At 39.2% G+C, this 24673-nt stretch overlaps 1 annotated feature.

The window, feature by feature from the left end:
• Positions 21446-22176: an enhancer, noted in NCBI's record as "NANOG hESC enhancer chr9:72538823-72539553 (GRCh37/hg19 assembly coordinates)". NCBI's record gives its function as "activates a minimal SCP1, AML or CMV promoter by ChIP-STARR-seq in naive H9 embryonic stem cells {active_cell/tissue: H9 hESC(naive)}" and the evidence as "EXISTENCE:reporter gene assay evidence [ECO:0000049][PMID:30033119]".

Below are 24673 nucleotides of genomic sequence, written 5' to 3'. Positions count from 1 at the left end.
AAGACTTGGTATCCATAGCAACTGAAACATTGCTATACTTACTCTTTCCATCCACCACGAGGGAAATAAACAGCCAAAGAGCTAGCTATTTCCTGATACCATTATATCACAGCTAATAAATTACCATCTGCAATGTCTTCACAAACCCTACTGTTGTTTTACTTTTAAAGCAGAACCAAAAAAAAAAAAAAAAGATGAAGAAATAAGAGAATGTAACCAAAACACAAAAATGAACAACCAGCCCACAAGGGAGGGTTGCAACAGTGCATCCAAGGAAGGAAGGAGAGAGTTACTCTCTGAACTTCCCTCAAGGCTGGCTGATGTCTAAGATAGAGAAGCAGTTTCCTGGGCTGCTGCCAAGCTACAAGTCACATACAAAGTCCATGTAGACTTTGTTGCTCTGAAAGGGAGTCCAGATCTAAGTGGGCCAACCTCAGACCCAGGCCCAGATATATACTAAACAGGATGCCCAATCAGTTGCAAATGTGTGCTGTGTGTGTATGTATGTGAGTGGTATTACTAAATCATAACTTTTTCTTTATTCATAAAAAAATGTGCCATATATGTACCAATCACTGTGTAAGGTTCTGAGGATGTTAGATGTGAATGAGACACTCTTAGCTGACAAAAGAGTTCATATCTTGCATAGAATCTAGATGCATCAAGTTTCCAATTGACAGACCTAAAGGTCCATCAACATCACCTATGACAGGCGCATCATTATATGATACCTTTAGGACCCAGTACAGACCCAGTACAGTTTCTTGTAAACAACTGACACATAATAAATGTTGATTACATGTAAGATTTCAAGGGAATTATAAAGATGAAGTTAACACACAACATCGAAAGTGTCTGTAGCAAGGAGGTCTTCAAAACACAGAGCCTTAAATTGTAGTTGAATGAAATGAATGTAATTTTAAAATTGATATAAACATAATTAAAGTTGTCAGAAATAATAAGTAGTAAATCTGGCATTTGAATCCATACAGTCTGGCTCTGGAGATTTTCGTGCTTAACCACTACATTTCTCCTCCTCTTAGAGAGCAAAGCCGAATGGGAAGGGGGACAGATGTTAAATTCTTTCTATAGCTACAGTGATTTTTTTTTAAGGAAAACCAATCCAAAAGTACAAACTGTAAATCTTTAGAAGCCAAACATACAGTTTGAACTGCATCTATTCATTCATTCATTTATTCAACAAATATTCATTGTGCTTCTCTGGACCAGTGCTCCTCTGGGTACCAGGGTTGGCACAGATAAAAACACAGTAAGCCAATATTCTCATGGTCTATTTTCTCCATAAAACTAGCCACTTTCAAACACACATTACAATCTATTTATTTATTATGTTTATTGATTGTTGTCTGTTTTCCCTTAACAGAATGCATCTTCCATGAGGATATACAATTTTGTGTTTTGGTCTCTAAGGTACCCCAAGCACATAGAACAGTGCTTGGAGCACTTCAGGGTTTTGATAAACATTTGTTGAATAAATGAATCATGGAGCTTACTTTTTATTGGAGGACAACATAAGTTTTTAAAATGAAATAATATCCAGGAATATATGCAGGGTAAAATCATAAATTTTCTATGCCTTCTTTCTCTAAATACAACAGTGATAATTCTTAATTACCACTGGACCTTACAAGGACACTATAAGTTTTAAGCAGGATGTGCAAATGCTTTGGAACCCTGGGAAGACTGTGGACACTTAAATAAATATAAGAAAGCTTTATAATCTCTGTTTCTGAATTTCTTCTATTTCAATATATTAAGGAGGTAAATCTGCATGTATATTTATCATTTTCAGTGTGACTTCAGCATTTCAATAAAGGTCACAGGTAACCCAGTGATGAAGCATCCTTCCCTCACTGCCTCTGAAAAGCCCACACTGGCCAATATTTTCCTAGGTTTTAGTACCGCATTATTTTACATATTTTATTCATCTGTTTCTCTTCCCTTTCTCATCAACCCTTTCATTTATGTTTAAACAACTCTATTTAGATATAACTCACAAACCATACAATTCACTCATTTAAAGTCTACACTTCAATGGTTTTTAGTATATTCACAGATATGTGCGACCTTCACCACAGTCAATTTTATGACATTTTTATCACATCAACAAGAAACTCCAAATGGTTACAGTCTCTAGATACCACCCTCATATCCACCCATTCCCTCTTCAGCCTTAAGCAAACACTAATCCAATTTCTGTTTCCATAGATTTCTGTATTCTGGGCTTTCATATGAATGGAATCAACTGACGTGGTCTTTTGTAAGTGGCTTCTTTCACTTGGCATGTTTTCAAGGTTTATCCAAATTATAGCAGGTGTTAGTACTCCATTGTATTGGCTGAAATAATATTCCATTGTATGAATATACCACATTTTGTTTATTCATTTACTGATAGACATTTGAGTTATTTCCACCTCTGGGCTATTATGAATAATGCTGCTATGCACATTTGTGTTTAAGTTTTTGCATGGACATATGTTTTCTTTTCTCTTATATACCTAGGATTAGAATTGCTGGGGCATATGGTAACTCTATGTTTAATTATGTCAGGAACTGCCAGACTGTTTTCCACAGCAGTGGAACCATGTTACATTCCCACTGGTGGTATATGAGGGTTCCAATTTCTCTACATCTTCAGCAACATTTGTTGTCATTATTTAACTTTTTTATTCTAGCCATCCCAGTCAGTGTGAAGTAATATCTCGTTCTGGTTTTAATTTGCATTTCCCTGATGACTAACGATGTAAATCATCTTTTCATGTGCTTACTGGCCATCTGAATATGGTTCTAGAGAAAAGTCTATTAAGACCCTTTGCCCATTTTCTAATCGGGTTATTTTACTTTTACATTGAGTCATAAAGGTTCTTTACATTCTAGATACAGATTCCTTATCAGATGTATGATTTGCAAATATTTTCTCCCATTCTGTGAGTTGTCTTTCACTTTCCTGACAGTGTCCTGCAATGCATAAAATTTTTTAATTTTGATAAAGTCCAATTAATTTATTTTTTCTTTTGTTGTCCTTGGTTTTGGTGCCATATATAAGAATGCTATGTCAAATTCAAGGTCATGAAGATATACTATGTTTTCTTCTAACGATTTTATCATTTTAGCTCTTATATCTAGGTCTTTGATCTATTTTGAGCTGTTTTTTTTTTTATGGCGTTAGGTGAGAGTCCGACTCTATTCCTTCATCTGCAGTTATCCAGTTGTACCAGCACTATTTGTTGAGAAGATTCTTATCTTCCCATTGAAAGGTCATGGCACCCTTGTCATAAATCAGTTGACCATAAGTGTATGCATCTATTTCTGGACTCTCCATTCTATTCTATTGGTCCATATATCTATTGTTTTGCCAGTCTTCATTACCATTGCTTTGTGGTATGTTTTGAGGTTGGGAAGTGTGAGTCCTCCTATTTTATTCTTTTTCAGGATTTTTCTGGCTATGTTTGTTTCCTTGCAATTATACATGAATTTTACAATCAGCTTGTCAATTTCTACAAAAAAAAAAATCCACAGGGCTTCTGATAGGAGTAGTGTTGAATCTGTAGACCAGTTTGTGGAATATTGCCATCTTAACAATATTAAGTTTTCTGATGCATGAATATGGGTTGATTCCCATCTATCTATCTATATAGTTTCCAGGGTATAAATACCACACTTCTTTTGTTAAATTTGTTCCTAAGTATTTTAATATTTTATTCTTTTTAATGCATGGGATTGTTTTCTTTTCCTTTTTTTTTTTCTTTAGAGACAGGGTCTCACTTTGTTGCCCAGGCTGGTCTCGAACTCCTGGGCTCAAGCAATCCTCCTGCCTCAGCCTCCCAAAGTGCTGAGATTACAGGCATGAGCCACCAGACCCAGCCAGTATTGTTTTCTTAGTTTCCATTTGGATCATTCATTGCATGTGTATAAAAATACAACTAATTTGTATCCTGCAAATTTGGTGAACTTGTTCATTAGTTCTAATCATTTTGGGTGGATTTCTTAAGATTTTCTACATACAAGACTATGTTATCTACTAATAGAAATAGTTTTACTTCTTCCTTTCCAATCTGAATGTCCTTTATTTCATTTTCTTGCCTAATTGCCCTGGCTAGAACCTCCAATACAATATTAAATAGAAGTGGTAAGAGTTGACGTTCTCTTGTTCCTGATCTTGGGGAGAAAGTTGCCACTCTTTTATCATTAAGTATAATGTTAGCTATATAATAATGTCAGGTTTTGTAGATGCCCTTCATCAGGTTGAAAAAAATTTCTTCTATTTCTCATTGTTGATAGTTTTTAAATCATGGAATGCTGTTAAATTTTGTCAAATATTCTTTCTGTATTAATTGAGATGATTGTGTGTTTTTTTGTTTTTATTCTATTAATACGTTGTATTACACTACTGTACCAATCTTGCATTCTTGGAATAAATCTCACTTGGTCACGTGTATAATTTATTTTATAAGTTTCTGAATTCTTTTAGTTAATATTTTGTTGAGAACTTTTGCGTCTATATTCATAAGAAATTGGTCTATAGTTTTCTTGGGATGTCTTTTTCTGGTTTGGATATCAGAGCAATACAGGGAACATAAAACAAGGTGGGAAATGTTTCCTCATCTATTTTCTTGAAGAGTTTTGGAGAATTGACATTAATTCTTCTTTAAATCTTAAATGTCTGGTAGAATTGAGCAGTGATGCCATCTGGGTCTGGGCTTTTCTTTGTGGTTTTTTGTTTTTGTTTTTGTTTTTGTTTTCCAAAACTCAATCTCTTCATTCATTATATGTCTATTCAAGCATCTATTTATTTTTGAGTTATTTTCAATAGTTTGAGTCTCTTTAGGAACTTGTCCATTTCATCTCACCTATTTAATTTTTAGGCTTACAATTATTTATGATATTTATTTACAAACCTTTTCATCTCTGTAAAGTCAATACAGTAGGAATGATCCTACTTTTATTACTGATTTTAATTTCAGGCATCTCCCTTTTATCTTAGTCAATATAGCTAAAGATTTGTACACTTTACTGATTGTTTCAAATAATGAATTTTAGTTCTATTGATTTTTCTTTGTTTTTCTATTATCTATTTCATTAATTTTCACTCTGATTTTTATTATTTTCTCTCTTCTGCTTGTTTAGATTTAGTTTGCACTTCTCTTTCTATTTTGTTAAAATGGAAGGTTAAGTTATTAGTTTCAGTTCCTTCTTCTTTCTTAATCTAGTCACTTACAGCTATAAACTTCCCTCTAAACACTGCTTTTCTGCATCTTGGCATGTTGTATCTTTATTTTTATTAATCTCAAAGTATTTTCAGATCTCCTCTTTGATTTCTTCTATGACCCATTGGTCATTTAGGTGTGTGTTAAGTTCCACATATTTGTAGGTTTTCGATTTTTTCACTATTTTAAAATTTTTTCATTCGTTATTTACTTATTTATTTTTAGAGACACAGTCTTGCTCCACTGTCCAGTCTGGGGTGCAATGGTGGTTCCATCATAGGTCACTGCATCCCTTGAACTCCTGGGCCCTAGCAATCCTCCCACCTCAGCCTCCTAAGTAGCTGCTACTACAGATACTCACCACCATGCCTGGCTAATTTTTTAAAAAAATGTTTAGAGATAAACTTTTGCTATGTTGCCCAGACTGCTCTCAAACTCCTGGCTTCAGGCAATCCTCCCACCTCAGCCTCGCAAATAGTGGGATTACAGGCATGAGGCACCGTGACAGGCTGAGGCTTTTCCCACTATTGATTTCTAATCTTATTCCCTTGGTGGGAGAATGTACTTTGTGAGATTTCTGTCCTTTTTAATCTATTGAGATTTGCCTTATGATCTAGCTTATGTTCTATCTTGAAAATGTTCCCTGTGCATGTTAGAAGAATGTATATTCTGTTGTTGTTAGGTAGAGTGTTCTATGGATGGCTACATCAGGTTGACTTATAGTATTGTTCAAGTCATCTATTTTCTTTTTGATCTTCTGCATAGTTGTTCTACACATTATTGAAAGAGGAGTATTAAAGTCTTCAACTCGTATTGTTGGTCTATTTCTCCAACCTCTGATTGTTTTTGCTTCATGTATTTTCGTACTCTGTTATTAGACACATATATGTTTATAGTAGTTAAATCCTCCTAGTGGATTGATCCTTTTGTCATTGTAAAATAGCCCTCTTTATCTCTAGTAACACTTTTTGTTTTAATGTCTATTTTGTCTGGTATTAATATAGTCACTCCAAACTTTTTGTGGTTGCTGTTGCATGATATTTTTTCATTCTTTTACTTTCAATGTATTTGTATCTTTGAGTCTAATGTGTCTCTTGTAGGCAGCTTATAGTTGGATCATATTTTTTATAGTCCACCAATCTCTGCCTTTTGATTCAATTGTTTCATTCATCCATATTTAATGCTATTATTGATATGCAATCATGTGCTGCTGCACAATGACATTTTGGTCATTGACAGACAACATATATGACAGTTGTTTCACAAGATTATAATGGAGCTAAAAAATATTCCTAACTCCTACTGACATCATAGCGACTGTAATGTTGTGTGTGTTATACTTTTATATGACTGGTAACACAGTAGTTTACTCTAGCATCACCACAAACATGCACATGTTTCCAGGTCAATCATTCGATGCACATGTTTGTGGTGATGCTGGAGTAAACTACTGTGATACCAGTCATATAAAAGTATAACACACACACCATTATGTACAGTACATAATACTTGATAATAATAAATGACTATGTTACTGGTTACTATACTATACTTTTTTTTTTTTTTTTTTTTTGCTCTGTTGCCCAGGCTGGAGTGCAATGCTATGATCTTGGCTCACTGCAACCTCTGCCTCCAGGGCTTAAGCGATTCTCATGCCTCAGCCTCTTGAGAAACTGGGATTACAGGTGCCCGCCACCACACTCAGCTAATTTTTTGTATTTCTAGTAGAGATGGGGTTTCACCATGTTGGCCAGGCTGGTCTTGAACTCCTGGCCTCAGGTGATCCGCCCACCTCGGCCTCCCAAAGTGCTGGGATTACAGGCGTGAGCCACCATGCCAGCTACACTATACTTTTTAATGTTTAGAGTGTATTTCTACATATAAAAAAGTTTACTGTAAAACAGTATGTCATGTCATGCCAGCAGCAGTCTTATCCATCTCGTACTTACCTCATCTTTTGCTTGTACCATTTTCTGTTGTGCTTGATTTAATCTTGTGTTGTTTTGTTCATTATGACTCCTAAGTATACAAAAATCATGAATAATGTTGCCATTAAGAGGCCACATCAAATGATTAACCTGGAAACAAAATTAAAAGTGATTAAGCACTATGAAGGTGGAAAATCAGTGATGATTATTGCTCACCAATCAGGCATGTCCTATTCCACCGTAGCTAACATTTTGAAGAACAAGGACAAAGAGCGTTAAAGACTGTTAAAGGATCTGCTTCATCAAAGCCAGTGAGACTAACAAAATTTGAGATGACCCTATATCAGATATGGAGAAACTTCTAATGTCTTAGATTGAAGATCAGATACAGAAGCATACTCCTCTCAGCACCATGATAATCATAACCAAAGCAAAAAGTTTATTCGTGATATTGAAGAAAAAGACTGGACCCGACTATGACATTGAATTTGCTGCTAGCTCAGGAGTTTAAATGACTCAAGAATTATTATTCATTACACAATGTGAAAGTGAGTGGTGAGTCTATGAGTGCTGATATGAAGGGAGCTGAAGAATTTTTGGAACTCTGGATAAGCTGATTGCAGAAGAAAATTACTTGCCAGAGCAAATCTTTGATATGGATGAAATCTCCCTATTCTGCACACAAATGCCTGAAAAGACTTTCATTCATAAGGAAGCCAAGTCAATGCCAGGTTCAAGTCTTTTAAGGACAGGATCATAATCTTGTTTGGGGGCAGTGTTGCAGGCTACAAATTGAAACCCTTTGTGATCTGTCACACTGAGAGCTCCAGGGCCTTCAACCATATTAAAAAGCACACACTGCCGGTGCACTACAGGGGGAGTAAGAAGTCACAGCTGACCCAGTTCCTCTTCTAAGATGCCATCTTGAATTGCTATGCCAGCAAAATGGAGAAGTACTGTCTGAAAAATAACATAACTTTCAAAATTTTACTTACTGCTGATAATGCTCTTGCACATGCTCCTCTTATTGGTGATCTTTATTCCAATATCAAAGTAGTGTTTCTCCCTACAAACACCACCTCTTTGATACAGTCAAAGGATTGAGAAAGTATAGCAGCTTTTAAGGCTTTCTACCTGAGGAGGACCTTTGCCCACGCTATTGCTGTAACTGAAGACGCGGATGCAATTCTGGAAGAATTACAACATCTATGACTGCATCAAGAACCTTGCTTTGATTTAGGGTGATGTCACCAAGGAGTATATAAATGGTACCTGGAAGAAGACATTCAAAAGTTTCAACCATGATGTCAAAGGATTTGTAAAGGATGAGGAGGTTACAAAAATCAACAAGGCTGTGGTTGAGATGACAAACAACTTAAACCTGGGTGTGTGTGAGGATGATATTGAAGAGCTCCTAGAGATGATTCATGAGGAACTGACTAACAAGAAGTTGTTGGAACTGCAAGAGGAACAGATAGCTGAAGAAGAGGCAAGAGGAAAGATAATTACAGGAGAAGTAAAAGAAGAACTCTCAAAAAATTTATAGTGAAAGCTTTAGCAGGAGCTTTTGCAGACCCCAACAAGCTCCTTAAAAAACTGAAAACATGAACCCCAACAATGAAAGGTTTTCATTAATGAAGAGCAATGTTCATGGTGTGTTATCTGCTTACAAGCAAATCTATGATGAAAAAAAGAAACAAACCAAGCAAATCACCATGGCCATATTTCTGAAAAGAGTGACACCTTCTCAAGAAGAGCCTCAGAAAGTCCTTCAGGATTGGAAGGCATTATCATCATAGGAGATGATAGTTCCATGCCTGTTATTGCCCCTAAAGACCTCCCAGTGGCACAAAATGTGGAGGTGGAAGACAGTGACATTGATAATCTTGACTCTGTATAGGCCTAGGCTAATATGTATGTTTGTGTCTTAGTTTTTAACAAAAAAAGTTTTTAAAGTTAAGAAAAAGTTTAGTGAAAAAATTCTTCTAGAGTAAAATATGAAGAAAGAAAATATTTTTGTACAGCTATACAACATGTGTTTTAAGCTAAGTGTTATTATAAAAAAGTCAAAAAGTTAAAAAAGTGTACAAGTTTGTAAACTAAAAAGTTACAGTAAACTAAGTTTTATTATTAAAGAAAATTTAAAAATAAATGTAGTGTAGCCTAAGCATACAGAGTTCATAAAGTCTACAGTAGTATATAGTAATGTCCTAGGCCTTCACATTCACTACCATTCACACCATGACTCATCCAGAGCAACTTGAAGTCCTGCAAGCTGTTGTGTGTAGATACACAAATGCTCATATCATGTTACAACAGCCTACGGTATTCAGTATAGTAACATGTTGTACAGGTTTGTAGCCTAATAGCAATAGGCTATGTCATATAGCCTAGTGTGTAGTAGCCATCTAAGTTTGTGTAAATATACTCTATGACATTTGCACAATGCATCACCTAATAATAAATTTCTTAGAATGTTGCTAAGCAATGCATGACCATAGTTGGATTTATGTCTGCTATTTTACATTTTGCTTTCTGTGATGGTTAATTTTAGGTTTCAATTTTACTGGATTAAGGAATACTTAGAGAGATTTTAAAGTATTCTTTTGGGGTGTGTCTGTGAGACTGGCATGTGAATCTGAGTGGACAGGTGGAAAAGATCCACCCTCAATGTGGCAGACACCATCCAATCAGCTGGCAGCCCCCATAGAACAAACATATGAAAGGTGAATTTGTCTCTCCTGGAGCTGGGACAGACTTTCTCCTCCTGTCTTTGGACATCAGAACCCCAGGCTCTTCAGTCTTGGAACTTCAGGACTTAAACCAGCACCCCACCCTCTGCAACCCCAAGTTCTCAGGCCTTCGACTCAGATTGAGAATTGAGCCATCAGCTTCCCTAATTCCGAGGCTTTTGGAACTGGACTGAGCCACACCACCAGCATCCCAGGGTCTCCAGCCTGCACATAGCCTGTCATGGGACTTCTCAGCCTCCATAATTGTTTGAGTCAGTTCCCCTAATAAAACCTCTCTCATATGTCTCTATCTATATCTATAAGTATATACTATTGGTCCTGTCTCTCTGGAGAACCCTGACTAATACACTTCTATATGTCTTACGCCTTTTTGTTCTTCTCTTCATTGTTCACTAAATTCTACTGTATGAAGTGGATATTTTCTAATGTAACATTCTAATTTCTTTAATAATTTTTTACTATTTAGTATGTTTTATTTTAATAGTTGCTCTAGGGTTTACCATATACATCTTAACTTATCAAAATCACCTTTAATATTAAGCCAGCTTAATTATAGTGATTACATAAAAACTTTACTGATACATAGCTCTATTTACTTTTTCCCTTTTTGTAGTATTATGATTATACATATTACATCTATTATTATACATACTGCAGACCAAAAGATACAATGTTATAATTATTACTTTATCATCTGTACTCATTTCCTTGGCCAATACAGCTTCGATTCCATTCATCTCTTTGTGCTGTTATTAGTAAAAACGTTATGCTTATGTTACATTTCTATATGTTATACATCCAACAATACATTATTTACATATTATTTATGCAATTGCTTTTTACATTCATTAAGATAAGAAAGGGTCAAAAATGTGCATTTATACTGTTTTTTGTACTTACATAATTACCTTTACTGGTACTCTCAGTTTTTCTATTCAAATTACCATCTGGGGTCACTTGCTTTCTGCCTGAAGAACTTCCTTTAGCATGCTTTGCAAGATAGGTATGTTGTCAACAAATTCAGTTTTCTTATCTTTGAAAGTCTGTATTTCTCCTTCACTTTAAAAAAATAGTTTAGAGGTATATGTTTATTGGTTAACAAGGGTTTTTGTTTTCCCTTGAGCACTTTGAATATACCATTCCACTGTCTTCTGATCGCCATTGTTTTGACTGACAAATTGAATGTTAATCTTATTGAGCTTCCTTTATAAGGAATGAGATGTTCTTTTGCTGCTTTCAAGATTTTCTCCTTGTCTTTGACTTTTATCGTCTTTAGTAATGATATATCTGTTTATGTATTTCTTTGTGTTTATCCTATTTGAAGTTCATTGAGCTTCCTGGTTATATAGGTTATTGTTTTTCATTAAAATTGGGAGGTTGCCTGCCATTATTTATTTGAATATTTTTTCGTCTCTTCTCCCTCTCCTCTCCAATATTCCCTTTATGCATATATTGGTGCATTTAATGGTGTCTCATATTTATCTAAGGCTCTGTTAATTTCTATCCATTTTTTTCTCTCTGTTCTCCAGCTTACTTAATCTTTGTTGATCTATGTTTAAATTTGAAAATTCTTCTGCCATTTCAAATCTACTGCTGAGCCCCTTGATGTTGAATTTTTTTATTTCAATCACTGAACTACTCAGTTCTAGAATTTTCATTTGGTTCATTTTATTTTTAAGAGACGTAGTCTCATTTTGTTGCCTAGGCTGGAGTGTAGTGGTGTGATCATAGCTCACTGCAGCCTCACAATCCTGGGCTCAAGCAATCCTCCCACCTCAGCCTCCTAAGTAGCTGGGACTACAGCTGCATGCCACCATGTTGGGCTAATTTATTTTTGTAGAAATGGGGTTTACTGTGTTGTCTAGGCTGATACTGCACTCCTGATTTCAGGCAATCCTTCTGCTTTTTCTTCCCAAAGTGCTGGGATTATAGGCATGAGCCACCACACTCAGTCTTTGGATCTTTTTTACAATTTCTATCTCTTTTTTTATATTCTCTATCTGATGCAACAGTGTCATCATACCTTCCTTTACCTCTGTAATCATGCTTTTGTTAAGTTCTATGAAGACGTTTTTTGTAGGACATAATAAATGTATTCCTCTTCAAAAGTTTAACCTGTTAACTACCTTGTTCTCTGTTCTCAAACCCAACTTTCTTGTTCTCCATGCATCCTTGCCACTAGTTACTGTAAACAACTTTCCCGTCAGTTCTAATCAATAACTCACATCTGTTCCCTTGGATACCCACTGTGCACCCATTCCTCCCACCAAAACCGCATGTCCCACCACTGTAACTCACATTCCCCTTCCCTTCCTTATTTGGGAAAATATTCACAAATAGCCAACCAGGTCAGTTTAGATTATGCAGTCTGACCCCAGCCCATGGGGGAGTGACACAGAGGTAGTGATTGCATTAGGAGTAAAAATCCCTGCTTTCCTCTGTTCAGTGTGCTCTTGCAATCGTGATTGACGTGAGCAGCACCCTTCTGTTGAAATAAGTTGCCTTGCTGAGAAAACTTTTGCCTGAGTGCTGGTTTCACTTTGCAGCACTGATCATTTATCTCCAACAAATATTGGGGCTCGTCCAGGATTCCCATTCTCCTCTGGGAACGGGGTCTCCTGTCACCTTTCATGAGGAGCATCCCACTGTCTCATTGCAGTGGCCTCAGGGTGAGGGATCAGGACCCACCCAGCGCAATGAATAAACCCAGACTCTCAGCAATGCAGGGAGAAAAAGGCTTGCAACAGCACAGAGACCAGGTAACTCTGTGCACAGGCCAAGGTAAGAAATGTCACTGGAGTGACAAAGTATTTCCTTGGTGGTCGGGATATTCTGGAGGTTGAAAGTGTGTGTGGATGATCACAAGCACTACTGCTGGCAGTGTGCTTGTGTGGATGGTACTAAGCACTACTGCTGTGCAGAGTGAGTGGTTCCTATCTGCGGTTCCGTGGTCACCTCATATGGCTTAGGGAGCATCCTGCTGTGGGGTTTATACTGGCACACCAATGTTAAGAGGGACCTAAATTCCCCTCAGGGAAGCGGCCAGAGTGGACACAGTGAAAGAAGGGTACAAGGAGCCTCCAGCAGGTGGGGCTAAAGGATAGGCAAGAAATCTCTAATATGAGGGATTGAGTCTCAATAAGCCTCCAGAGAAGGATAGGCAAGAAATCTCTAATACGAGGGATTGAGCCTAACTAGGACTCAACATGGGAAATACCCCAAGCAAGACAGGGAGTAAAAGGGATAAAGATAGCAATAAAGATATTCCCTCTGATAGTCCCCTGGGTCTCATGTTAAAATATTGGAAAGATAATGAGAGGACTAAACAAAAAGAAAAAGCAACAAATGATAAAATATTGCGGTTTTATTTGGACTCAGGGACCCATCCTCAAACCCTCAATCTTCTGGCCGATGTTTGGGTCAAATGAGGATGTGGTGTGTCAACTTCTGATTTAATATGTAAATGATAAAAGCCTGGTTTCTCAAGAAGAACTGGATTGTGCTCTTTGTTTGGAGTCAGGGACCCATTCTCCTTTTTCCTTAAAGACAACTAGGGAAAAACTCAATCTAGAATCTCAAAATGAAGAGTCAGAAAAGCCAGTTCCTGTGCCTAAAGACTCCAGCATATAGGATCCCCTAGACCATCTTCCCCCACTCAGTGCCCCTAACCCTTCCCCTCAGGCAGCTGCTGCCATCCTAGATCCTGATCCAGATCCTTCCCCTGCTCACATTATGCCTCCTCCTTACAATCCTGATTCTTGGGAACCATCCCATGAGCCTGTTACTTCTCAGCCCCAGTACCCTTCCCTAAAAGGACTCCAACATGATATAGAACAATGGAGAAATGCTATCCAAAATTTCCCATTTCCCTCTACATCTAAGGAGTCAGCCCCAACTCTCTTCCCCTTAAAGGAGGTGCCACAAGAATGGGGAGCTATTGGCTTTGTGAATGCTCCCTTAACCAGTTTGGAGATCCAAACTTTGACGAAGGAACTTAAGCCATTGTTTGATGACCCTTATGGGTGGCAGATCAAGTTGATCAATTCTTGGGACCTCAATTATACACTTGCGTTGAGTTAATGTCCATCCTAGGCATCCTCTTTTCGGGGGAAGAAAGAAGCATGATCCATAAGCCTGCTATGGTAATTTGGGAACATGAACACCCTCCCGGTAAAAACCTTCCTACTGCAGATCAGAAGTTTCCCACCCAAGACCCCTGGTGGGACAATAATAATGTGGCTCACCAGGAAAATATGCAAGACCTAAGGGACACGATAATAAAAGGAATTAGGGAATCAGTACCCCGAACCCAAAAGCTCTCTAGAGCACTTGATTGTTGTTTCATAACAGGAAAAAGATGAGGGGCCTATGAAATTTCTAGACAGACTAAAGGACCAAATGAGACAATATGCAGGCCTAAATTTAGAAGATCCCCTTGGACAGGGAATGTTAAAGCTCCATTTTGTCACTAAAAGTTAGCCAGATATTTCGTTACAAAAATTAGAAAATTGGGAAAACCAACCTCTGAGTGAACTCCTTAGGGAAGCTCCAAAAGTGTACGTAAAGAGAGACAAAGAAAAGCAAAAACAAAAGGCAAAACTCATGTTATACACTTTCCAGCAGGTGGCTCCAAACCCACACATTTCTAAATATAGCTTCCAGGGGGCCAGAAACTATAAAGGGTCCAGATCTCTGTTTAAAGGACACAAGCCTCCATCTAGAGGACCCCGCCCCTCATCTACCAGACCATCTAAAAAATATGGGGGAGCAAAGCTAAAGAATCCCAGGATTGAGACAGTGGAGAGACAGGATAGGTACTACAAATGTGGAACAGCAGGCCACTTCAAGAGAGAATGTCCTGAATTGCAAAGGCAGAAAGAAGCCCTACCACTCATGACTTTTGAGGAAGAATAGGGGAGTCAGGGGCTCTGTCTCTTTTGCTTCGAATCCCACCAGGAGCCCTTGATAAATTTAGAGGTGGGACCCAAACAGGAGCCTATCACCTTTTTAGTCAATTTAGGAGTGGCTCACTTCTCCATTTGTTTCCCTCCACCTAACATTGCCTGCTCTTCAGAAGAACTTTTAGTCTCTGGGATAAAAGGAGAAGGATTTAAGGCAAAAATCTTAGAAAGTACAGAAGTTAAATACCAAGATTGATTGACTCATATCCAATTTTTATTGATCCCTGAGGCAGGAACTAATCTATTGGGAAGAGACTTAATGCTAAAATTAGGCATAGGCCTACAAGTTCACCCTAAAGGATTTCTTGCCTCATTAAACCTACTCACCACTGCAGATGAAAAATACAGTAATCCCAATGTCTGGTCAAGGGAGGGAAACCTAGGGAAACTCCAAATCCCTCCAAGCCACATCAAGCTAAAAACCCACTGGGGAAGTAGTGAGGAGGAAAAAAATACCCCATTCCCCTAGAGGGCAGAATAGGGTTAAAGCCTATAATTGAAAGTCTTATTAAAGATGGACTCCCTTGTACCCTGTATGTCCCCTTATAACACTCCAGTATTGCCAGTCAAGAAAGCAGATGGGACATACTGACTGGTGCAAGATCTTAAAGCCATCAGTCAAATAGTCCAGACTACCCATCCTGTTGTCCCCAACCCATACACCATTCTCAGCAAAATTCCATATAATCATCAGTGGTTTACAGTAATAGACTTAAAGGATGCCTTCTGGGCATGCCCCTTGGCTAAAGACAGCTGAGACACATTTGCTTTTGAGTGGGAGGACCCCCATTCAGGGCAAAAACAACAGTATCAATGGAGTTCAAGGGTTCACAGACTCCCTAAACCTTTTTGGCCAAATCTAGAACAAGTGTCAGAAAAAGTTGTCATCCCAAAGTAGATATGCCTGGTCCAGTATGTGGGTGATATTCTTATATCTGGTGAAGATGTAAAAAAAGTAGCTGACTTCTCTACACATATTCTTAACCATCTGGAATTTGAGGGGCTATGGGTCTCAAAGGGAAAGCTTCAGTATGTGGAGACTGAAGTTAAATATTTAGGCCACTTTTATCAGTGGAGGTAAGTGAAGAATAGGGCCTGAGTGAGTTGAAGGCATCGTGTCCTTATCCCTGCCTCAAACTAAGCAAGGACTCAGAACATTTTTAGGATTAGTTGGATACTGCTGCTTATGGATTGACTCATATGCCCTAAAAAGTAAACTTTTATATGAAAAGCTTACCTAGTGGAAGCTGGACCATCTCCTGTGGACTTCTGAGGAAGCCGATCAGGTTTTTTAGCCTTACCTTCCCTAGAAAAGCCATTTCATCTTTTTGTTAACATAAATAACAGGGTAGCTTTAGGGGTGCTCACTCAAGAACCCAGTGGCCGCTGGCAGCCCATAGCCTTCCTATCAAAAGTTTTACACCCAATACCTGTAGATGGCCTCAATGTTTTCAATCTGTTGCAGCTACAGAAGTATTAGTTGAAGAAACCAGAAAATTAACCTTTGGGGGAAAATTAACTGTAAGCACACCCCACCAAGTTAGAGCTACTTTAAATAAAAAAGCAGGAAGGTGCTCACTGACTCCAGAATCTTGAAATACTGAAATTGAATCTTGAAAAATTAAAATATGAGGCTATTCTACTAGAAAAAAGATGAATTTAACCTTAACTACTGATAATTCACTCAACCCAGCAGGTTTCTTGACAGGAGACCCAAATCTAAAAAGAGAACACCTATGTTTAGATTTAATTGACTACCAAATGAAGGTCAGGCCAGATCTAGGAGAGACCCCTTTCAAAATGGGGCGATGCTTATTTATAGATGGTTCCTCCCAAGTAATTAAAGGAGAAAGGCATAATGGGTATTCAGTAATTGATAGAGAAACTCTTGAAGAAATAGAGTCAGGAAGGTTGCCCAATAGTTGATCTGCCCAAGTTTGTGAACCATTTGCCCTCAGCCAGGCTTTAAAACACTTACAGAACAAGGAAGAAACTATTTATACTGATTCTAAGTATGCCTTTGGAGTAGCACATACATTTGGAAAAATTTGGCCTGAGAAACCTCTTATTAATTTTAAAGGCCAAAATCTTGCCCATGAAGAGCTAATCATCCATGTTTTAAACAATCTCCAGTTGCCAGAAGAAATAGCCATTGTACATGTCCCCAGACACTAAAAAGACTTTTCCTTTACAAGTTGGGGAAATAACCTTGCAAATCAAGCAGCTAAGCAGGCTGCTGTTTCATCTGAAACACCTATCTTTCACTTAACTCCTTGTCTTCCTCCCCCTGCTGCAACCTCTATCTTCTCTGCTGCAGAAAAGGAAAAATTAATAAGAATAGGAGCCAAAGAAAACTCAGAAGGAAAATGGGTGTTACCAGATCAATGAGAAATACTATCCAAACTCGTCATGAAGGAAATCCTGTCCCATCTGCATCAAGGGACCCACTGGGGACCCCAAGCTATGTGTGATGCAGTTCTCAGGGTTTATGGGTGTTCAGGAACTTATACTGTAGCCAAACAGATTAAAGATAGTTGCTTCATATGTAAAAAAAAAAAACCCAACAAACAAGTTACAAAGAAATCGCCCCTTGCGGGGAGGGATCCAGGGCTAAGACCATTCCAAAGTGTTCAAATTGACTACACTGAAATGCCCCCAATCGGTCGCCTAAAGTACTTATTAGTAACAGCAGATCACCTTACTCATTGAGTTGAAGCTATTCCCTTTTCAAATGCAATGGCCAATAATGTAGTTAAAGCATTAACTGAAAAGATAGTGCCCAGGTTTGGACCAATAGAAAATATTGATTCAGACAATGGAACCCATTTCATAGCACATATCATTAAAAAGCTATCCCAAGCCCTAGACATTAGATGGGAATATCATACTCCTTGGCACCCACCTTCCTCAAGAAGAATAGAAAGGATGAATTAGACCTTAAAGAACCACATAACCAAATTAGTTCTAGAGACTCAGTTGCCATGGACCAAATGTCTTCTTATTGCCTTTTAAGAATCTGAGCTGCTCCTTGGAAAGATATTGGCCTTTCTCCTTATGAGATGCTCTAATTGCCTTATTTACACTCCACTGCTGGCATTCCTACATTTGAAACAAAAGATCAATTCCTCAGGAATTATATACTTGGTCTCTCCTCTACTTTCTCTTTTTTTAAAAACCAAAGGTCTCCTAGCACAGGCGCCGCCCCTGGAGTTCCCAGTACATCAACATCAGCCTGGGGATCATGTCCTCATCAAAAGCTAGAAAGAAGAAAAACTTGAGCTGTCCTGGGAAGGACTTCACCTAAGTGCTTCTAACCACTGGAACCACAGTCCTGATAGCAGAAAAAGGATGGACCCATCACACCTGAGTCAAGAAAGCACCACCACCTCCGCAGTCATGGGCCATTGTCCCAGGGGAAAACCCCCTCAAACTAAAGCTAAGTTTAACTCTCTTTCATCTATTCTATTACTCTTTCTTCTTTTCTCATTCTATTGCTGACCACCTTGTTATCAATGTAACTAAATCAAACTCCCCCAAAGTTATTACGTTTGATGCTTGTTTAGTCATACCCTGTAGAGATCTTCAAAGTCAAAGGAAACTCTTAGCCTTAGAAAAGTATCTCTGCCCCTTTAAAATAGAGGTTCCCCCTACCAAGACTCTTGCTCTTTAACAAATATAGAGAAACAGGTCTGCCATAGCAGGAATGATGTTCTGTGGACAACCAAATATCAAGGCTAGACCTCATTGACAGGTGGTTGTGTATCCTTAAAACCATACATTCACTTTACTAAAGAAAGCACCTCCAACCCCAATTGCCAGTATAACCAATGTAATCCAGTGCAAATTTCAATTCTCACTTCCACCTCTACCGACCCTAGACCTACTTTGAGCCGCTTCTACAGCATGGGAGCCAACTTGGCTGGCACAGACCTCATAGGGACTTTTGAAATGCATTTTATTAATCCCTCATCCTCTTCACCCCCTTTCCTCTCTTCTCCTTCTAAGCCTTCTTCTAATCAAACTGCTATCCCCTCTATACCCAATGATAAGACTAAGGTAGATATTGTAGAAGTAAATGATTTAAGGCAAACTTTAGCAATTGAAACAGGATATCAAGATGCAAATTCCTGGTTGGAATGGATCAAATATTCTGTCCACATGTTAAACAAAAGCAATTGTTATGCTTGTGTGCACGGCCAGCCAGAGGCCCAGATTGTCCTCTTTCCACTTGGATGGTCCGCTAGTCAACCAGGCATGGGCTGCATGATAGCTCTCTTCCAGGATTCTACAGCTTGGGACAATAAATAATGCCAAGCTCTCTTTCTGCTCTATCCTGAAATCCAACACCCTGCGGGTCAGCCCCCGAAGGCCATCCAGCTTCCATCTCCCAACGTCAATTTCACCTTGTGTCTCTCACAACAAGGGGAAAACTTGGCATTCCTTGGAAGCTTAACAGGATGCAGTGAGCTTAAGCCCTTCTAGAAGCTTACCCATCAGTCTGCCCTTAGCCATCCTCGAGCAGATGTGTGGTGGTATTGTGGCAGACCCTTACTGGACACTCTGTCAAGTAACTGGAGTGGTACTTATGCTCTTGTCTAATTGGCTATCCCTTTCACCCTGGCATTTCATCAACCAGAAAAAGAAAAAATGCAACACCATAAAATAAGAGAAGCCCCTTATGGGTCTTTTGACTCTCAAGTTTATTTAGATGCAATTAGAGTCCCACGGGGAGTACCTGATAAATTCAAAGCCCAGACCAAATAGCTGCAGGATTTGAATCAGTATTTCCATGAGTAACTATTAATAAAAATGTAAATTGGATAAATTACATCTATTATAAACAGCAATGATTTATTAATTACACTAGAGATGCCATCAAAGTAATAGCTGACCAGTTAGGGCCTACTAGCCAGATGGTTTGGGAAAACAGAATGGCCCTAGACATGATGTTAGCTGAAAAAGGTGGAGTTTGCATTATAATTAAAACTCAATGTTGTACCTTCATCCCAAACAATACTGCCCCCAATGGGAACATAACAAGGCCTTACAGAGACTTACCTCTTTATCCAATGAATTAGCTAAAAATTCTAGAGTTGATAACCCTTTCTAAGCATGGCTAGCTAGAAAGGTGATTTGGTAAATGGAAAGGAATCACAGCCTCAGTGCTTACTTCTCTTGCAGCCATAATAGGTGTACTCATTCTTGTTGGGTGTTGTGTCATACCATGCATCCATGGGCTAGTACAAAGGCTTATAGAAACAGTACTTACTAAAGCCTCCCTTAGCTCTCCTCCACCTTATTCAGATAAGTTGTTCCTTTTAGAGGATGAAGTCGAACAGCAAAGCCAAGACATCTTAAAAAGGTCTGAAGAGGAAGGACTATAAAAATTAAGAGGGGGGAAATTGTAGGATACAATAAATTTATTCCTCTTCACATGTTTAGCTTGTTAACTTCCTTGTTCTTTGTTCTCAAACTCAACTTTCTTGTTCTCCATGCCTCCTTGTCCCTAGTTACTGTAAACAACCTTCCCGTCAGTTCTAATCAATAACTTCACATCTGTTCCCTTGGCTACCTGCTCTACACCAATTCCTCCCACTGAAACTGCATGTCCTACCACTGTACCTCACATTCCCCTTCCCTTCCTTATTTGGGAAAATATTCACAAATAGCCCATCAGGTCAGTTTAGATTGTGCAGTCTGACCCCAGCCCATGGGGGAGTGACACAGATGTAGGGATTGCATTACGAATAAAAACCCCTGCTTTCCTTTATTCAGTGTGCTCTTGCAATTGTGATTGATGCGAGTAGCACCCTTCTGCAGAAGTAAGTTGCCTTGCTGCAAAAACTTTTGCCTGAGTGCTGGTTTCACTTTGCGGCACCGAGCATTTATCTCCAACATTTTTGGTGGCTATTTTGAAATACTTTCCTGTTAAATATGACATCTGGTTGCTCTCATAGGCAGTTTGTGTTGCCTGCTTTTTTCCTGCGTATGGATCATGCTTTCCTGTTTCTTTGCATAATTTTTTGTTGGAAATGGGACATTTTAGATAATATATTGTATTAGTTCATTTGCATTACTCTAAAGGAATACCTGAGGGTGGGTAATTTATAAAGAAAAGAGGTTTATTTGGCTCACCATTCTGCAGGCTGTATAAGAAGCATGGCATGAGCATCTACTTCTGGTTAGGGCCTCAGGAAGGGGAAGAAGGCATGTCACACATGAGAAAGGAAGAGGTGAGAGAAGGGTATGGTTCTTTTCAACTATCAGTTCTTAAATGAACTAACAGAGCGATAACCCACTCATTACAAAGAGAAAGTGACCATGCCATTCACGAGGGATCTACCCCCATCACCCAAGAACCTCCCACTAGGCCAAAACTCCAACAACATTGGGGATCAAGTGTTAACATAAGATTTGGAGGGGACAAACATCCAAACTATGTCATATACTGTAGCAATTCTGAACACTAGACTTCCCTCTCCTGGGCTATTATTATTATTTGCTTGCTTTTTTTTTTTCTTAACCAGCTGGGTTATTTTAGTGAAGTTTTATGTGAACACACATGCGCGCGCGCACACACACACACACACACACACACACACACACACACACATTGTTAAGCCTCCAATGTTGCTCCTCAGGGAGGCATGGCTTTGGGGATGGCTACAGTAACCCTGGGATGATAATAGGATTGGTAGGACTCTTTTTCTTTCCTTCCCTGACCACACCCAGCTATTGAACTCCACTAATTGCTGGCTGATTGCATTATTGTTTTAAAAAGTACCCTGGGGGCATAAATAGCTTTACAAACGAATTCACCCCAAATTGTGGTCCCTTTGAAGGAATGATTTCTGTGGTCAGTGCTTGATAATTGTTTTCACCCTATGAGGGCTCCTTCCAGCTGTCATATTCTGGTTCTCTCTGGTTCTCTCCTAGGCAACCCACAGTCTAGGCTCTATCTTCATTAACTTCACAAATGTGCCTCCCAAGTGCCTTTCACCACAGTCTCTCCACTGCTCTTGAGAGTGCCCTTTGGCTTGGGCTTCTCCACAGTGTGTTGCAAATGAAGTCAGTTTCCTTTCGAAGACATTGAGAGTTGTTTTATAGCTTGCTTCTTTCCCCAGGCAAAATCTCTAAGCCAGGGTTCTAGAGCTGGGGGTGAAGACAAAGACAAGTTGCTTTCTGAGTGACAGCTGTGCTCCAGGATCTGAGTGCTTGGTGGAGAGCAAATGCCACAGCCTGAGATTGTTTTTGGTGGCAAGGAACCACCAACTCATGAACTGCAGCAAGGGTGACTGGGGCCCCAATTCTTTTAATGTGCCTGTCCAAGGTACAGTCTCTACTCCATAAGTGGGGGATAGGAGGAAGGGAGCCCCCATTCTGACTGAACACACCCACTACTTAACCTCAGCAACAGATAGCTGTGGACAAGACGAGAAATGCTGAAGTCCTGCTCCTCCTGGGAAGAAAGCGCTCTCCACTGGGAGCTAGAGGGAGAGGGATCCCCATCTTCTTGGCTATGACAACATGATGCAAAGTCTATGCCTCATTAAGCTGGGAAAGGGGAAGGGGAGAGTAGTCTTGGTTCAAATACCAGAGACTCTCACATTTCTTACCAAATTGTTGTAGGTTTTATTTGTTTTGAGACGGAGCCCAGGCTGGAGTGCAGTGACGTGATCTCGGCTCACTGCAAGCTCCGCCTCCTGGGTTCACGCCATTCTCCTGCCTCAGCCTCCCGAGTAGCTGGGACTACAGGTGCCTGCCACCATGCCCGGCTAATTTTTTGTATTTTTAGTAGAGATGGGGTTTCACCATGTTAGCCAGGATGGTCTCGATCTCCTGACCTCGTGATCTGCCTGCCTTGGCCTCCCAAAGTGTTGGGATTACAGGCATGAGCCACCGCACCCAGCCTCTTTATTTATTTATTTATTTATTTATTTATTTATTTTTAGACAGAGTCTCGCTCTGTCGCCCAGGCTGGAGCGCAGGGGCACAATCTCGGCTCACTGCAACCTCTGCCTCCCGGATTCCTGCCATTTTCCTGCCTCAGCCTCCTGAGTAGCTGGCACTACAGGCGCCCTCCACCACGCCTGGCTAATTTTTTTGTATTTTTAGTAGTGATGGGGTTTCACCAAGTTAGCCAGGATGCTCTCGATCTCCTGACCTCATGATCCACCCGCCTCGGCTTCCCAAAGTGCTGGGATTATTTCTTCATTTGCTGTATGCCTTTAGGATCATTTCCAGAGGCTTTGAGTTAGTTTGCTTTTAATAATTTTCACCAGTTTCTCTGTGGAGCAAGCTGGCAGAGCTCCTCACACAGTAATGCAGGAAGTTCAGCAACCCTTCATTTTAATGGATTTATTCATTGCTAACTCACAGCAGAATGGCTATGGAGTATATGTCATTAATGCCTAACGGATTTGCAGCAACTAGTGGCATAGTATGGGATCTCCAACTAATAATAAAAAGATGCTTATGGTGAAATGGTGATTTGCTGTGGTGAGATCACAGGCACTAAGAGAAAACAACCCATAGAAGGTTTGGGTTTGTCAGTAATAGGATAGACACTATACAGTAACATAAATGATTAAACATCAGAAACTCAACCTATGGTATACAGGCTTTGAAGAAGCTGTAAACCAATTAGTCTTTTTATCTTTCAGTAACAGCCTGGAAAACTGGATTTTAATTCAAGCTCAGCTTGACTTCTGAGCTATGCAGAATAAGAGACGTTGGTGATATAAAATGGGAAAACAGTTGATTAAGTCTCATCTGAGTTTTAAAAGCTAAATGCTTGGAAATGCTCTAGTCATTTAAAATAATCACGTTTACATCTATCTTGATGAAAATGAGGTAATGCTGAAGCTCAGAATGATGCTCAGCTCTGGAAGGTATTTCATATTGTACAAAATCTTCCGAGAGGTGCTGAGCAGAGCAGCTGCTTAATCAGGAATATTAAGAACACAGAATTCTTTTGTTGCAATTGTACCTTTTCTTTTATTGATAGAGTAAACTCTGTAAAATATTTGAAGAGATTTATTCTGAGCCAAATATGAGTGACCATGTCCTGTGACACAGCCCTCAGGAGGTCCTGAGAACATGTGCCCAAGGTGGTTAGGATACAGCTTGGTTTTATATATTTTAGAGAGGCATGAGACATCAATCAAATACATTTAAGCACGACATTGGTTTGGTTCAGAAAGGTGGGACAACTCAAAGCGGGGGATTCCAGGCTATAGGTAAATTTGAACATTTTGTGGTTGACAATTGGTGGAGTTTATCTGAAGACCTGGGATTAATGGAAAGGAATGTTCAGGTTAAGATAAAGGATTGTGGGGACCAAGTTTTAGTGTGCAGAGGAATTTCTCAGCAGACTTTAGAGAGACAGTAGGTTGTAAAATGTTTCTTATGGGACTTAAAAGGGTGCCAGCCTCTTAGTTAATTATCTCCTGGATCTGGAAAGAAGGGAGGAAAACAAAGGGGGAAGGGGATTCTCCAGAGAATGTGGATTTTTCCCCACAAGAGACTTTGCAGGGCAACTTCAAGATATGGCAAGGAAATGTATTTTGGGGTTAAATATTTTTCCTCGTCTCATAACGTTATGCCAAAGTCAGACTGAAAAGTCAGTCACAATATATAGGGTCAAATAAAACCCATCTGACAAGAATTTATGGTTCATAGGGCATGACTCCCTAGACCCCTTAGGTAGGAATTTGAGCAAGAGAAAAATCAGAGCTTAGTCCTCACTTTGATGCTAAAATCTAAGAATCACCAATGAATTTTAAATTTAAAAAGGCTATGAT

This window comes from Homo sapiens, chromosome 9 (assembly GCF_000001405.40).
Source record: "Homo sapiens chromosome 9, GRCh38.p14 Primary Assembly".
Taxonomy (NCBI): Eukaryota; Metazoa; Chordata; class Mammalia; order Primates; family Hominidae; genus Homo; species Homo sapiens.
This window is presented reverse-complemented; position numbering and strand designations above follow the sequence as displayed.